At 38.2% G+C, this 16,758-nt stretch overlaps 1 protein-coding gene across 1 annotated transcript in view; it reads right to left on the bottom strand.

The window, feature by feature from the left end:
* Window positions 1-16,758, bottom strand: part of SPIN1 (spindlin 1) — a 90,251-nt gene that overhangs the window by 6,974 nt on the left and 66,519 nt on the right. The window contains exons 4-5 of the mRNA NM_006717.3: window positions 8,972-9,225; window positions 3,116-3,349 (exon numbers count right to left, since the gene is read on the bottom strand). Of these exons, the coding sequence (NP_006708.2) occupies window positions 3,116-3,349; window positions 8,972-9,225 (488 nt within the window). The remainder of the gene's footprint in view (window positions 1-3,115; window positions 3,350-8,971; window positions 9,226-16,758) is intronic.

Below are 16,758 nucleotides of genomic sequence, written 5' to 3'. Positions count from 1 at the left end.
GTCCAGAAACACACCCACGTATCTGTGGTCAACTGATTTTCTTTTTTTTTTTTTTTTTTTTTTTTTGAGACAGAGTCTCGCTCTGTTGCCCAGGCTGGAGTGCAATGGTGCGGTCTTGGCTCACTGCAACATCCACTTCCCAGGTTCAAGCGATTCTCCTGCCTCAGCCTCCCGAGTAGCTGGGATTACAGGTGCCTGCCACCACACCTGGCTAATTTTTAGTAGAGACAGGGTTTCCCCGTGCTGCCCAGGCTGGTCTCGAACTCCTGACCTCGTGATCCACCCGCCTTGGCCTCCCAAAGTACTGGGATTACAGGTGTGAGCCACCGCGCAACAAGGATGCCAAAACCATTCAATGGGGGAAAGAATAGTCTTTTCAAAATATGGTGCTTGGACAACTAGATAGGCAGTCACAAGCAAAAAAAAATGAAGTTGGACCCTTAACTTGAACCACAAACAAAAATTAACTTGAAAATGCATCAAAGATCTCTAAGTAAGAGCTATAATTATAAAACTCTTATAAGAAAACGAGGGTAAATCTTTATGACCTCAGATTTGGCAAAAGATTCTTAGGACACAAAAAGCATACTCAGCAAGAGAAAACATAACTCGGACTTCAGAGTTTAAAACTTTTGTGCAAAGATCATCATCAAGAAAGTAAAAACAGCCCATGGAATAGGAGAAAACATTTGCAACATATATCTGATAAAGGTCTTGTATTTAAAAAATTGTCACAATGCAATAATGAAAGACAGATAATTCAATTTAAAAATAGGCAGGGGATATGAATAGACATTTCACCACAGATGATATTAAAAGGGCCAATAGGCCGGGCATGGTGGCTCATGTCTGTAATCCCGGCCCTTTGGGAGGCCAAGGCAGGTGGATCCTTTGAGGTCAGGAGTTCAAGAGGAGCCCGGCCAATATGGTGAAACCCCATCTCCACTAAAAATACAAAAATTAGAAGACATGGTGGCACGCGCCTATAGTCCCAGCTACTGGGGAGGCTGAGGCAGGAGAATGGCTTGAACCCAGTAGGCGGAGGCTGCAGTAAGCTGAGATCACGCCAATGCACTCCAGCCTGGGCGACAGAGCAAGACTCTGTCTCAAAAAAAAAAAGGGGGGGGGCCAATAAGCATATGAAAGATGCTTAACATCATTACTCATCAGGGAAATGCAAATCAAAGCCACAATGAGATACCACTTCACATCCACTAGGATGGCCAGAATCAAAGTAACAGTAACAGTTGGTGAGAATGTGGAGAAATCAGAAGTCTCATACACTGCTGTTGGAAATGTAAAGTGGTATTTCCGTTTTTAAAATTAGCCTGGCAGTTCCCCCAAACGATTAAACATAGAGTTACCATTATGACCCAGCAACTCCACTCCTAGGTATATACCCAAAGGAAATAAAACATGTCCACACAGAAACTTGTACAAAAATGTTTACAGCAGCATTATTCATAATAACCAAGAGGTGGGGAAACAACTCAGATGTGCTTTACTGGATGAATGGCTAATCAAAATGTAGTATATCCATACAATGGAATCGTATTTGGCCATTAAAAGGAATGAAGTACTGATATATGCTACAGCGTGAATGAAATCTCAAAATATGCTAAGGGAAAGAAGCTAGCACAAAGGACCTCACACCATATAGTCCATTCATATGAATGTCCACAACAGGGAAATTTACACAGCAAGTATTACTGGTTGCTTAAGGCCAGGGGGTTCGAAGAATAAAGGACTGACAGCTAACAGATACAAAGTTTTCTTTTGAGGTGATGACAATGTTCTAAAATCGACTGTGGTGAGGACTGTACATATCTGTGCGTATATTAAAAAGTACAGAAATGCACATTTTAAATGGACTAACTATATGGACTAACATGGTCGTAATGGCTCACACCTGTAATCCTAACACTTGTGGGAGGCCAAGGCTGGTGGACTACCTGAGCTCAAGTGTTTGAGACCACCTTGGCCAACATGGTGAAACCCCATCTCTAAAATATAAAACAAAACAAACAAACAAACAAAAATTAACCAGGTGTGGCGGTGGGTGCCTGCAGTCCCAGCCACTTGGGAGGCTGGGGCAGAAGACTCGCTTGAGCGTGGGAGGCGGAGGTTGCAGTGAGCCAAGACCACACCATTACACTCCAGCCCAGCCTGAGCAACAGAGCAAGACTCTGTCCAAAAACAAAAACCACAATAAAGGTTTTCTAGGCCTAATGAAATTAGCCCAGGTCACATCCTCTTCTACCTTACCTGTGTGAACAGACTAGTTGTGGAAATAGCTAAATCACCTGTCTAAACACTGACTCTGTACTCCACTTGCTACTGAAAAGTTAGCAGTCAATCGTTTTCTGAAATTGATGTTCTCTAAATCAGGAGTCCCAGACACCTGGGGCCACGCCGCACAGCAGGAGGTGAGCAGCGGCAAAGAGAGCACTGCCGTCTGAGCTCTGCCTCCTGTCAGATCAGCAGAGGCATCAGATTCTCACAGGAGCACAAACCTTATTGTGAACTACGCATGTGAAGAATCTAAGTTGTGTGTTCCTTATGGGAATCTAATGCCTCCAAAACCACCATATCCACACCCAACCCCCAATCCACAGAAAACTGTCTTCCATGAAACTGGTCCCCGGTGACAAAAAGGCTGAAGATCGCTGCTCTGAAGTTCAAGTATTTACAGATGAAATAATCAATGTCTTGGGATTAGATTCAAAATAATTGCACTGGGGGGACTAACAGATAAAACTAGACAGGCGATGAGATAACTGTTAAAGCTGAGCAGGGTACACGGGGACGTATTTTACTGATCCCTATTCCATCATGTTTTTAAATAAAAGCAAGAAGTAATATGTAGTAGTGTTAATAATTATAAAACAACTTGTATCTTATTACAGAAGCCAAGCAGAACTGACTATCAAATATTTTCTTATCTAACATTTATAACAACTGGATGAAAAATTTCAAAGGCTGTGTTTGTGCATGACTAAAAGAATCATATATCCAAAAATAAAAATGTATCTGCAAAAGAGCCAATCAAATATCTTGTACTGAAGTCCAAATCCCTTCTAATTATCACATATAAAAGTTGCCAATATATACTTACTGGAATCAGGCATAATGCGAAGGTCGCCTTCTTTGTAATCATCTAAGAGTTGGTACATGTACAAGACAGGGTCTTTCTCATAGGTAATGTAAAACCATGTGTTCATGACAGGTGCACGTGCTAAGACCATTCCCCTCCACTCATCTTTAGAACCATCCTCTGTCTCAAACATATGTTCCACTGCTTTGCCAATCATTGTGTCTGCCAAGTGTGCATCGCTGATTCGAGATGTCGCTGGGGATTAAAAAAAAAAAAAAAAAGTTGACAAAGTGTTTCGCTGATTACCGACTATGAAGACTGAATTTACTAAAGAAGGCTACACCTGAAATTTTGTCCATGCAACGTATTAGCAAGCATCAGAATCTGGGAAAGCTTTAAAAAGTACAAAAACCAAAGACAAACTACTGGGCCCCAGCTCAGAGATGGATTCAACAGAATAGAAGTATTTTGTCCCAAGTCAGTTAATTGAAAAAAATATGATTTTTTATTTTTCTGGACTCATCTGCTCTTGGTTCTGTACCCAAATCAAAAGTTTTAATTGTTCATTCAAGGTATAAAATACTGTTTGTTATTGTTTACTTAACAGTTAAATTTTGAGATAATTTCAGACTTACAGAAGAACTGGAAAAATAGTAGAGTTCCTGTATACGGTTCACTTTGCTTCTCCTGTATTAGCATCTTACATAACCACAGAACGTTTATTTAAAACTTAGAAAAGCTATTCAAGGCACAGAGGGTTTTTTTTTTGTTTTTTTTTTTTAAAGAAATTGGTGTTTGTTTTCCTTCAGTCTTATTTCCATTTTTTTATTAAGGCATAGGTTTTTACTCTCTTGCTCCTACAATCTTATTCTTCACTGCAACCAAAGTAATCGTTGTGTCACTGATACCACATTGTGTGATCTAAAATGTTCCCATGCCTTCCCTTTATAATTTGAAAAACAACCAAACTGCTCACCATAGCCCCCAAGCCCTAAAAGCCTTCACGCCTCTGCCCTCAGGTTTCCCATCTTCCTCCTTGTTGTTCATGCGTTCTCTACTCTGCTCTTCTTCCTCTCCCATTAGGACACACTCTCCTCTGCCTGATAAGCTCTTCCCCATACCTTCAGAAGGCCGGTTCCTTTTGGAGTTCTCCTGACCAACAAGGTAGCCCCACAAATCCCAGTCACATTACCCAATTTTACCTCTTAATAACATTCACCATGATCTAAAGTTATCCCACTTTATGTTATTTGTGTACTTGTTAGTTGCTTGTACATCCCCATGAAAGCAGAGACCTTCCCTTTCTTGTTTTATACCTAGATCATAGCAGGTCAGTATTTGTATGATTTAATCAGATACCCCATGTGGTTGGGAGCTCAGGTCTCTGAAATGATAGATTAACGGTCCTAGCCCTTAATATTTTTCAAAAGTGGTGAAAATTATCACCTTCATCTTTTTAATACTGGAAAAACTATGAAGGATCCCATTGGTTTTAAGACTTCTCCAGTCCACAATTTTAGATAACTGTCTTTATACCAAATTTAAACAATTATCTTTAAAAAACAAACAAACAAACAAACAAACAATTAGAGACAAGCACGGTGGCTCACGCCTGTAATCCTAGCACTTTGGGAGTCCAAGGCGGGCGAATCACTTGAGCCCAGAAGTTTGAGGCCAGCCTGGGCAACATGACAAAACCCCGTCTCTACTAAAAATACAAAAAATTAGCCAGGTGTGGCAGTGCAGGCCTGTAGTCCCAGCTACTGAGAAGGCTCAGGTGGTGAATCACCTAAACCCAGAGGTCGAGGCTGCAGTGAGACAAGATGGCGCCACTGCACTCCAGCCTGGGCTACGGGAGTGAGGCCCTGTCTTAACAACAACAAAAACAACAACAACAAACAATTAGCTCTCCTATTTTCCTCATTCAACAAACTTCTATTTCTGTTACATCAAAAGAAACAAAAAAGTGAGATTTTCTTGATACATGTATTGCTATTTAATTTTATCAGCAAACCCTAAACATGTATGGCTGGTTTTAAGTACGCAGTAATAATAAAAAATTACACAGAATTCCCCCCGTGTATGACAGTAAAAAAACCCCACTAGTTTCTTAAAGCCAGTAGATCTCAGACTTAGATCTCAGAACTCCATGTGCATTCTTAAAAATTACTGGCTGGGCACAGCGACTCACATCTATAATCCTAGCACTTTGAGCCCCAGGCAGGAGGATTGCTTGAGGCCAGGAGTTTGAGACCAGCCTGGGCAACATAATGAGATCTCATCTCTACAAAAAGTTAAAAATTAGCAGGGTACTGTGGTGAGTGCCTGTAGTCCCAGCAACTCAGGAGACTGAGGCAGGAGGACTGTTTGAGCTCAACGTGTTGAGACAGCAGTGAGCCCTGATCACACCACTATACTCCAGCCTGGGTGACAAAGCGAGATCCTGTCTCTAAAAAAAAAATTAAAACATAAATGGAAATTACTACAGACCTAAAAAAGCATCTGTTTACATAGATAATGCCTACCAATATTTACTACTTCAGAAAATGAAAAACAAATCTAGAAACATTTATTTAAAAATACCTATATATCAATGCATTTTAAATTAAAAATAACTATTTCCTATCAAAATACATTAAGAGTGGCTTAATTTTACATTTTTGCAAATCTCCTAATGTCTAGGTTTTAAAAAGAACAAGTAGATTCTCATATCTGCTTTAGCACTCAATCTGTTATGATCTGCTCTTTCAGTTCAGGTATAAAATCCAGCCTCTCAAAGATATGATACTGAAAAGAATATTCTAATCGTCTTTCAGATAATTCTAGATATACTTATATGAAACCACAGAATTCAACAGTTAGCTCCTTAAAGGTTAGTTACAATGCAGAATCTGAAACCATTAATAAATCTGTCATACTGTTACATTAAAACTCATGTCTCCAGAACATATAAAGAACTCTCACAACTCAACAAAAATCAAAATAACCTAATTAAAAAATGGTCAAAGGATGTGAGTAGATATTTCCCCAAAGATGATTTACAAGTGGCCAACAAGCACATAAAAAGATGCTCAATATCACTAATCATCAGAGAAATGCAAATCAAAACAAAATGAGGTATCGTATCACACCCATCAGGATGACCACTATGACAAAAACAGTAAATAGCAACTGCTGACTAAGGGATGGAGAACTGGAACCCTTGTATACTGTAGGTAGGACTGGAAAATGGTACAACTGCTGTGGAAAACAGTATGGTAGTTCTACCTAAGAAATTAGAATTACGATACTAAAATTAAAATTATAATTACCATATGATCCAGCAATCCCACTCCTGTGCCTATATCCAAAACAACTGAAAGCAGGATCTCAAAGAAATATCTGCATATCCATGTTTACAGGAGCACTATTCACAATTTTACATGGTACAATTTTACATTCTACCAAGAGGTAGAAGCAATCCAAATGTCCATTAATGGGTGAACAGATAAACAAACTGTGGTATATAGATACAATGGAATGTTCTTTTCAGCCTTAAAGGAAATCCTGTCACACGTTACAACATGAACCAACTTTGAGGACATTATGCTAAGTGAAATAAGTTACTCACAAAACAAATACTGTGTGATTCCACTTCTATGAGATATCTAGAATAGTCAAATTCATAGAGACAGAGTGTAGAATGGTGGTTGCCAGGGGCTGGGAATGGGAGGAAAGGTAGGTTGTTTTGTTTAATAGGTAGAGAGTTTCAGATTTGTAAGATGAAGTAGTTCTGGAGATCTGTTTCAACAATGCGAATGTACTTAACACACTACTGAACTGTACACTTAAAAATGGTTAGGACAGTAAATTTTATGCTATGTTTTTTTACAATTAAAAAAAAAGTAGTTAGTCTTGCACTTTGAATAGCTCTTTCACCAATGCATGATGTGGTACCATGCACTGCTCATAAAGAAAATATTGTGTTCACTAAGTTATGCAAATCTTCCAAATAGATAGTGGGAAACTCCACTGTGTAATTGAGAAAAAGAGAGAGTGAAAAGCGCGAATTACAGCTTAACAAAATGAAAATATTTCTGACCTTGCAAATCTCCTGAATGGGCTTCAGAGAACCCAAGGGTCCCCAGGCCTTGCTTTGGGAACCACTGCTCTGTGACATCACATGCATTCTGGCTGACTGACTTTTTTCTCTAACTTTAGCTTAAGAAAAACATAATTTTAATTATACTCTAATGTACTGCCTGAAGCAATTGCTTCCGACGTAAAACGTAAGTGAAGAGCAAGTAATTTTTTAGACTAAAGTAGGTTGATGCCAAAGTAACTGCTGTTTTGGCCATTACTTTCAATTTCAATGTCAAAAACCGCAATTACTTTTGCACCAACCTAATACCACGAATACTAAAATTAATAACAACTATTAGCTGAATTAGGCATATATATTGCTGATTTACAGAAAAGCTCTTGGGTTTCTTTTTATATTGCTTGAATGTTTACAAAATTACTATTGTTGGAAACAGAGATAATACCAAACTACAAACAACATGGAACCCTTAGTCCCATCACCAGAGATACTTGTACAGTTTCTATCCTTCGATGACAAAAGGACCAACAACCACAGGTCATGCAGCAATATGCAGGAACCTTCAAGTGAGCTAGCTGTCGTCTCAGAAGGGGCAGAGACTAAAATTCTGCTGTTAAGATTTTTAATATGTTAAAGTTTCTTATATGGGAAATGGATTAATGCCATGATCAAGAAGAAATGTAGGATGTGCATCAAGAGGAAGAGCAGGTGATCAGTCACACTTAAGAATAGATGAGAATGTTGAAAATAACAAAGACTTAATATTACTTTTAGGAGTAATAATAAAGATTTAAATTTAAAGAAAGATTTCTTTGAAAACTGAACCATATTTATACAGATGAGCAAGGATTTAGCATTTGATATCTAAAGAGAAGAGTAAAACAAAATAACTTGCTACTAAGGCAGAATTAACTTCCTAAGGAAACTCGTTATATCCCAGGGACACAATGGCACAGTCTGAAGAAAAACAAAGCGAGGAGACTGAACTAATTTCTTCCTGTGACAATTTGATCCCAAAATTCCTACCTCCCAAGTCTAGATCTGCTGAAACTTTATTATTTAATGGTATAGACTTATAAAGACAATTCTAAAAGTATAAACCAATATTTTAAACAAGAGCAGCATCACTGTAATAAGAAAATATTTCAAAATAAATACTTCAAAAAAAAGTAATATTAGTTTGGGTGTATCCCACCCTACTAATAAAATCAGTAATTATTATTTACCTTAGACCTTATGCCTTAAGGAACACTTGCAGGGCAAAACTGGCACTGTATGACATTTAAAAAGAGCCATTCATTTCCACAAACATTGTTCAATCAAGCTCTGTGTATAATAAAGACCACGTTTTGGTTGTTTAAATTTTGGCTCAAAGTACAATTATCATTTACGTTGTACACAAAGATACACTTTCACAGAAAGATTCTAAAGGCACAGCATTCTCTTATCTTTTGTATCTGATGAGATGAGATTAACATATAGGATATTTCAGCTACTGATAACCTTACCCATCAGAGTCCAGAGAACAGTGAGCAAAAATGTTAGAAATAACCGTATTATAAATTATTACGTGGCAAACTTCTTGGGGGGAAAATACACATCTCTATATCCCTCACACAGTTCCTTGAACTGCTTAGGATCCATTTTTGTGGTTTTCGGTGATTTAATATAATGTTTATCAAGAAGGGTGCTTGTGTTCCAATAAAAGTGAAGTATTAATAATGTAAAATAAAAAAAGCATCCAGTTCAATATCATTTTTAAAGTATATAATGCACAAATTATAAAAAGAACTTACCAACTCTATCAGGGAGGACTTCAAGCGCAGAAACTCTTTCATCTTTATTAAGTTCTAGTCCATAAACACAGTCAAATCCATCGTATTTTATAAGATACAAAGAAGGATTTACAGGCACCTGGTCCAGAACGGTTCCTTTCCACTGGGTAACAGGGCCATTCCCCTCTTTCCACCCATGCTGAATCCTGCAGCCTACGATGTTCCGCCGGGGCTGGGAAACAGGTTTGCTCGGACCCACACTGCTCCGATGTTTTCTGTATTCACACATATACACACATAAGGTATTATCTCAAAAGTATGCATGCCTAGATCTAACATAACCGCTGGCTAGCATGATCTCATTACAGATGGTCCCAAAATATGTACAAACTCATGTTTGCCACATTCCTGCTTCAGGTGACTCAAAGTGGTTGTCCTCTACCCCTGTACCAGTGGTGGTGAGTGTGTAACATGGTATGTTAGTAATAGGAGCTTGTTGTGCACCTCAACTGTGTATAGGCAGAAAAAACTACTAGTCAATAGCAACTTAAGCCCTACTATTAAGCATCAGGTTATCAGCTTTCTGAGTTTATTTTAATTCAATCAACTCAAAATTTTCCAAGTTAATTAAAGAAGGACTGATCCGTGAAATACATGTTATCAATAATCACACAGGTATATAGTTTTATATAATATCTACTTCAAGTTAAAAAGAAATGTGTAACTATTCAATTTCACCCATTCCCGTGCCCAAATAATTCTGCCTGTACAAGCTTAACTAATAAAAATAAACTAGACAATTTTCTCTTAAACTGAAGTCCAGACTAGCTTATATCAATGCACTATAGAAACATTACTTGTCTAGAAAACATATAATCTTAAAACTGAAGTTTATAACAATGTAATATTAAAAATTATTGAAACATCAAACTACTTTTTTTCTGGCTTATTATTAGCAATTGAAAAATCCACACAGAATGTTTATAAATAATACACCTGGCTCTTGATATCAGGAAAAAATCTTCATTTCACCTTAAAACCCTGGCTTCTTGGATGCAAGCTGAAGGTCAAAACCAAGATAACAGATGCTGATATACGCCAAGAACAAAAAGACCTGAAAGGAATTCCCTTCCCACAGTTTTATGGGTATAAAGCTCTCATTTCGTACACCATGAATAAAAGTGATTAATATCTGACATATAACACAAATAAGTTTTAAAGAAACAATTTATTGTAGGTTGTAACAGCTAAAACTAAAATTATATATTTTCTAAATAGAAATAATTTACTCTAGACTGGTAACATATATTTAGCTAAGTCAGACGGGAACAGGCCATAAGAGACAATAAGGAGTACTCGCCGCAGAAGGGAAGCTTCTCTCCTGGGGGTGAAAAACTAAGCAAGGGGGTCTGAACCTAACCAAGGAGACTGGGAGGAGATTCACAGGGTTAAGTGCAAGACTGTAAGGCCAGAAAACCCAGGTCTGCCTAAGCCCCTTGGGACTGTGCAAAAACCCAGCAAACCTTCCTTCCAGAAAGACAAAGCCCTTCTGAGTACACAATCCTTACTGACCAGGACAGGACCACAGGGTGAGGAAAGCAGGATTCAGGCAGAAATGAGGGCGGCAGGTCTCAGAAAGTATGACAGAGGTGGCTACCCAGAGAGGTCTTAAGCTAGGAAAGCATTCTTGGAATCCTCTCATTTACATGGGTCTGGAAGCATCATGGTTGGACAACATACGAAAGTATCTTGAGGAGGAAAAAGACTAACAATGTGACAGATGTTCTGACAGGCAGGAGCAGGCCTCAAAAACAGGCTCATTAAGTAGATGAAAACTACTATCTAACACTGAGCAAATGACAGAAGCCATGAAATAGAAACTGTGATGATTAATTTTGTGTGTCAACTTAACTGTGCCACAGAGTGCCTAGATTAAACACTGTTCGTGGGTGTGTCTGTGCATCTGAATCAGCAGACTGAACAAAGAAGATGCCATCACCAATGTGGGTGGCCATAATCCATTCTGTCAAGGGCTTGAATAGAACAAAAGGTAGAGGAGGGAGGAATTTACCCCTTTTTCTTCCTGCTGGCCTGCCTGAGCTGGAACATCAGTCTTCTCCTGCCCTTGGACTGGAACTGACACCACTGGGTCCCCTGGTTCTAGACCTGCAGAATGAATTCCACTTCCAGCTTTCCCGAGGCTTGGCTTACAGACAGCACTCCACGGGACTTCTCAGTCTTCAAAATAGCATAAACCAATTTCCTCATAATAAATCTCCTTCATATTTTATCTATTTCCCAACGATTCTATTTCCCTGGAGAACCCTAACGTAAGAACATGTATCAGGAACAGAAAAGATGAGAAATGAGATCGCTAGACAAGAGAAGATGTGAGAACTACCAAACAAAGTAAAGAATCAATAATTTGAAATTTTTTTTCAGAAATTAAGACTAGAAGAACATGAGAAGAAACAGACACCACGGGAGCATGTGAGGAAAGTGGATGATGAAAAGGGGACAGACGGGGACAAAAGTAAAAAGAATTAAGAGATGGTAACAAATATTCCAACTTCTGTGTAACAGAAGAACCTAAAAACTAAAATCAAAGTTCACAGAAGAGAGTACTAAAAATCGTAATTGAAGAAAACGTTCCTGAAACAAAACACTTGAATGTACTAATGCACCCCACAGGAAAACCCAGAATGACTGGCGCTAAGGCATATCCAAGTCAAATAAACGAATTTTAAAGAAAATAACACCCTTTGGGCATTTACACAAAAGGACCAAATCATGTGTAAGGGATAGACTCAGAATTTGACAGCAACACTCTATGCCAGAAGGCAACAGAGTAATAAACTTAAGGTTCTCAAGGAAAAGAAAATGTGAGCCAAGGATTTGTTCATCAGCCAAGAAGGTACACTGACCTTCAAGTATAAAGGCCGCAAACAAAACTGTAACGAACATGTCAGAAGGCAGGGGATACTGTTCTTATAAAGTTATATGACAATGAGCTTCAGATAATCAAGGAACTCACAGAGAAGGTTCAGTACAGCACTGAGAGAAAGCAATGAATACATTTAACTGTAGAACAAATGGCGGCAAGGAGAGACAATAGTGTGTAACCGTTATCTGTTCTGATATTTCAAATTTAACACAACTCTCAAAAACAGGAGAAAAGAATATGCAAAGCAGAGTAAGTATAGTGAGTGTCTTATAAACTTAGATCAAAAAAGAATTAAAATTAGGATTGTAGAGAGAAAGGAGATGACAAAGAGCTAAATTCAGTATTGTTCACAGTAAGGAACCAATATATATATATAACATAAAAATAAACAAAAAGTCTGTAACTTTACTACTCAGAGGTAGAAGAAAGTTGACTTCTAGACATCTGCATAATCTCTAGTAATATACAGTAACATCCAATTGGCCTCTACGGGAAAACAGCTGGTGAAGGAGATTACATTTCCACTTTAGAATACAAGAATCCTTTGTAGCAATACTTTTTTTCTTAAACTGACAACCAGTTACGTATCTTCTTTTGATTTCTAAGCCAAAGATCCAATGAGTTACTCCCCGTACAGGATCAGGCTTTCTTCATATTTAGTGCAAAGGCTAAGGTTAGTTCCCAAACCTCACTAAGGATAGAATTCAGTCATGTGTCCCATTTTGTAATTTACACAGACATTCCATGATTACTAACAAAATTATAAGCAAATACAGCATCTTCACCCATATGGTGGTTAACTTTGTGTGTCAATTTGGTTACACCACAGTAGTCAGATATGTGGTCAAACACCACTCTAGATGTCTCTGTGAAAGCATTTTTTAGCTGGAATGAACATTTGGATCGCAGACTATGAGCACAGCAGACTGCCCTCATAATGTTGGTGGACCTCATCCAAGAAAAAAACTGGCCTCCTCGGAGGAGGAAGGAATTCTGCCTCCAGACTGGCTGTTTGTGCTGCAGCTTCAACTCTTCCCTGGCTCTCTAGATGGCTGGCCTACCCTATAGATTTTGAACTTGTTCAGTCCCAACTGCATTAGCCAATTCCTTAATATAAATCTTCCCCGCTTCCCTCCTCATGTGTTTTTCTCTCTCTCTCTAGAGGCATGAAATTTTCTACCCTTGATTTTCAAGAAAACCAACATAAACGTGACCTATGACAGCAGAATTTTTCGTTGTCGCTGCTCCCTCCCACACCTGTTAGCAGCATTCCTCTGTAAATGGGAATTATCTGCAGTTGCTCCTGATAATGGCTAGAATCACATTTCAAAATAAGCAGTTTTCATACTAGACACCTCCAAGGAGCAAATAAGGTCTCCTCCCTCTTGAGCATTATACAAGGGGCTTGTATCTGGCCAAGAGTCCTCCTCAAACTGGACCCGGGGTCCTTTAATTCTGGGAATGCATATTCCTCCCTTTTGAACTGATTTTATTTCCTCATCTTCTTATTAAGAGTTAGCCTTTGCTGTGGTAAATGATACTATGAGTCTCATACTTAACATTTTGTTCTGTGTTGTCTACCTGTCTTCTGTTTTCATTTCCTCACTTTCCTCTCTTCCTTCATCTGTGCCACTAGAATGATTGAAGTTTCTTTTCACTAAATAAAGCTTCTAACGCAAATGATGTAACTTGCTTCTAGTCTTCCAACAATTATCTTTAACTTTGCATATATTATACCTAAACTTTCATTTTTCTATTAAAATCTGTGATTAATCAAAACCTATACTTTTCATCCCCCAGCCAAAGCAACACTAAAACCAAACAAGAAAAAATCCTTAGTAAAAGAAAAACTTAAAACCTTACCTGGCTAATTCTACTGCATTGCTGAAATGTAGACTTTTGTTACAAATTGGTATTTTCATTTTGCTACTATCTTAGTAACTTTTTAATTTAGAAACAAGAAAGGTTTTTTGGTTGCTTTTTGCGTAGTATTTTCACATTTTTTTCTCATGTATATTCTGTCTTTCTAGATACATCCTCTGGTAATTCTTTCAGGTAAAGTTCAGGAATACAAACGCTAGATTTTTGCAAGCCTCAAATTATTATTTTGCCCTTATCCCTGAATTGCCTGTGTATACAAATCAGGTTCAAAGTCTTTTTCCCCTCAGTACTTTGAGAGAAAAAAAAAACTTTCATTTTACCATCTAAAATTACAGACAATAGAAGCCAATCTGATCCTTGTTCCTCTGAGGGGCAATTTTCTCTTCAAGGTGTTTTATTTTATTTATTATTATTTTTTGAGAGAGTCTCACTCAGTCACCCAGGCTGGAGTATAGTGGTGCAATCTCAGCTCACTGCAACCTCCACCTCCCAGGTTCACGTGATTCTCGTGCCTCAGCCTCCCTAAGTAGCTGGGATTACAGGTGTGCACCACCACACCCGGCTAATTTTTCCATTTTTAGTAGAGACAGGGTTTCGCCATGTTGGTCAGGCTGGCTCAAACTCCTGGCCTCAAGTGATCCGCCCCACCTCAGTCTCCCAAAGTGCTGGGTCTTCAAGGTGTTTTAGAATTTTCTTTGTTCCTAGACTCTAAAATGTCACAAAGACTTGTGACATGTGTTTTTAATTATCCCTCATAAGAAGCTGGTCAACCTAGAGAGAGCAAAGCAAAATTATCACCCATTTGTAGTCTGGATTATTCTCCTCCTCCACCCGCTTTTGAAATGTCATCAGACAAATGCTAGCACTTCTAGATCAATTCTCCATGATTCAACTGCCCTGTCATACTTTTCATCTTGAAGAAATTTTTAGCTCAATTGTTAGTGAATTAAGTAAACTCTACTTTCAGCCTATTGAATATCTTGCATAATATTTTTAATGTCTTTGTCTTATCTCGAATGGTTTTTCTTTTTAATGAACATGCTTTCTGATATCTGAAGATAAGTTTCATTTTTTCCTGATTCTTCTAGGAACTCTTTAGGATCAAGTCTCCTCTGTTTTCTACACATACATGGTGATTCCTGGCTTGTTCTTCTGTTTTGACTAGTGACTGTCTTTTATGCGTTTAGTGCTCTAAGATGCCTCATGATTCTTGGTGTTCGTATTTGTAGATGCAAGTCAAGATGAAGTGGCATTTGTAGATACAATGTATGTCTTCAGCTCAAGTCAGACTCTCTGGCCTCTGAGCAGTAAGTGCAGGTTCTGATGACAGAAGCCACAACCCTGGTAGCTGCACAGAGGCTAAGAAGTGACAGGTATCTTTAAATCAAGAGGAGGTAAGTTGAGCATCTTCTGTTCCAATGCCAATTCTGTACAATCAATTTTCTTACCCTTTTAATATTTGGTAACTGTACTCAAGCCATTCTATTGTCCAGCCCTTACTATCTCTGATCCTGGCAGTATTCTAAATCTAGTTTATTTACTTGTTGGCACCAGAGTTCCTCAGTGGAGTCTTGATATAAACTTGTTCCTATCTGCTTGAGATCTAGAAATTTCTTAGTGTTCTGGTCTGCCAGCAGGATGACCTTTTTATATTAACAGTAACAAAAACTTAGAATTTTGATAATTTCATCATAATTTTAGTACAAATTATGATGAAGTATTATTTTCTATCTGTGTATAAAATGAATAAAACCTTTCTAGTGATTAGTTTGGCAATATCTGTCCAAAGCCTTACCATGTGGAGTTTCCATTGTTCCGTGAGTCCACATCTACAAATTTATCAAAAGAAAATAATAATGGATGTGCACAAAGATATTGCTAACACGGGAAACTAAAGAAAATGTTTAACAATAGGCCCCATTAATTTAAAAGCTCAGAGCGTTATCTCTATGATGAACTATATACGTATTAAAAATCATGAAAAAGAATTTAAAGAACTGGGGTCTTGCTTTGTTGCCCAAATTGTCCTCAAACTCCTGGGCTCAAGCAATCCTCTTGCTTTATAGCCTCCCAAGTAGCTGGAACTACGTAAGGGTGCCTGCCACCATGCCTAGCTAATGTTTAATTTTTTGTACAGACAGGGTCTCACTATGTTGCCCAGCCTGGTCTCAAACTCCTGGGCTCAAGCAATCCTCCCACCTTGGCCTCCCAAAGTGCTGGGATTAGAAGTATGAACCACTGTACCCAGTCTTAAAAACTTTTTATTTTAAAAACCCACAAGTGTAAAAAATATGACATGAAAAATTTTTATACACAATCCTTACAGGTACGTAGGAAAAAGTTTTTTAAAATATACATTAAATTATTAACAATCTCTGGGTGATGGCATTATAAATAAGTTTTCTTTCTCTGTTTACCTATGTTTTCAAAATTTTCTACAACTTAAGTATTTCACTTTTGCAGCCACATAAAACACAACTGTTTTTTCTGACACGGAGTTTCACTCTTGCTGCACAGGCTGAAGTGCAATGGCGTGATCTCAGCTCACCGCAACCTCTGTCTCCCCGGTTCAAGCGATTCTCCTGCCTCAGCCTCCCGAGTAGCTGGGATTACAGGCATGTGCCACCACGCCTGGCTAGTTTTGTATTTTTAGTGGAGATATCATGTTGATCAGGCTGGTCTCAAACTCCCGACCTCAGGTCATCTGCCAGCCTTGGCCTCCTGAAGTGTTGGGATTACAGGTGTGAGCCACCGCGCCCGGCAGAACACAATTTTTAATTACTGCTACATTAATGCAATGCGTATACTAATTCGGCAAGAAATTATATATAAAAATAGATTTGCATATTTTAAGGATGGCAATTCCTACATTTATTTCTACTGCCTTTTTGTGATTCAAGAGCAATTCTTTCAGAATGTAATTTTATTGTTTCCAAAAGAAGGATTAAAGAATATCTGTTATAGATACTATTTCTGTCCAATT

Source organism: Homo sapiens, chromosome 9 (genome assembly GCF_000001405.40).
Source record: "Homo sapiens chromosome 9, GRCh38.p14 Primary Assembly".
NCBI classification, from domain to species: Eukaryota; Metazoa; Chordata; class Mammalia; order Primates; family Hominidae; genus Homo; species Homo sapiens.
Note: the sequence above shows the minus strand (reverse complement) of the source record. Positions and strands in the feature narration are given on the sequence as shown.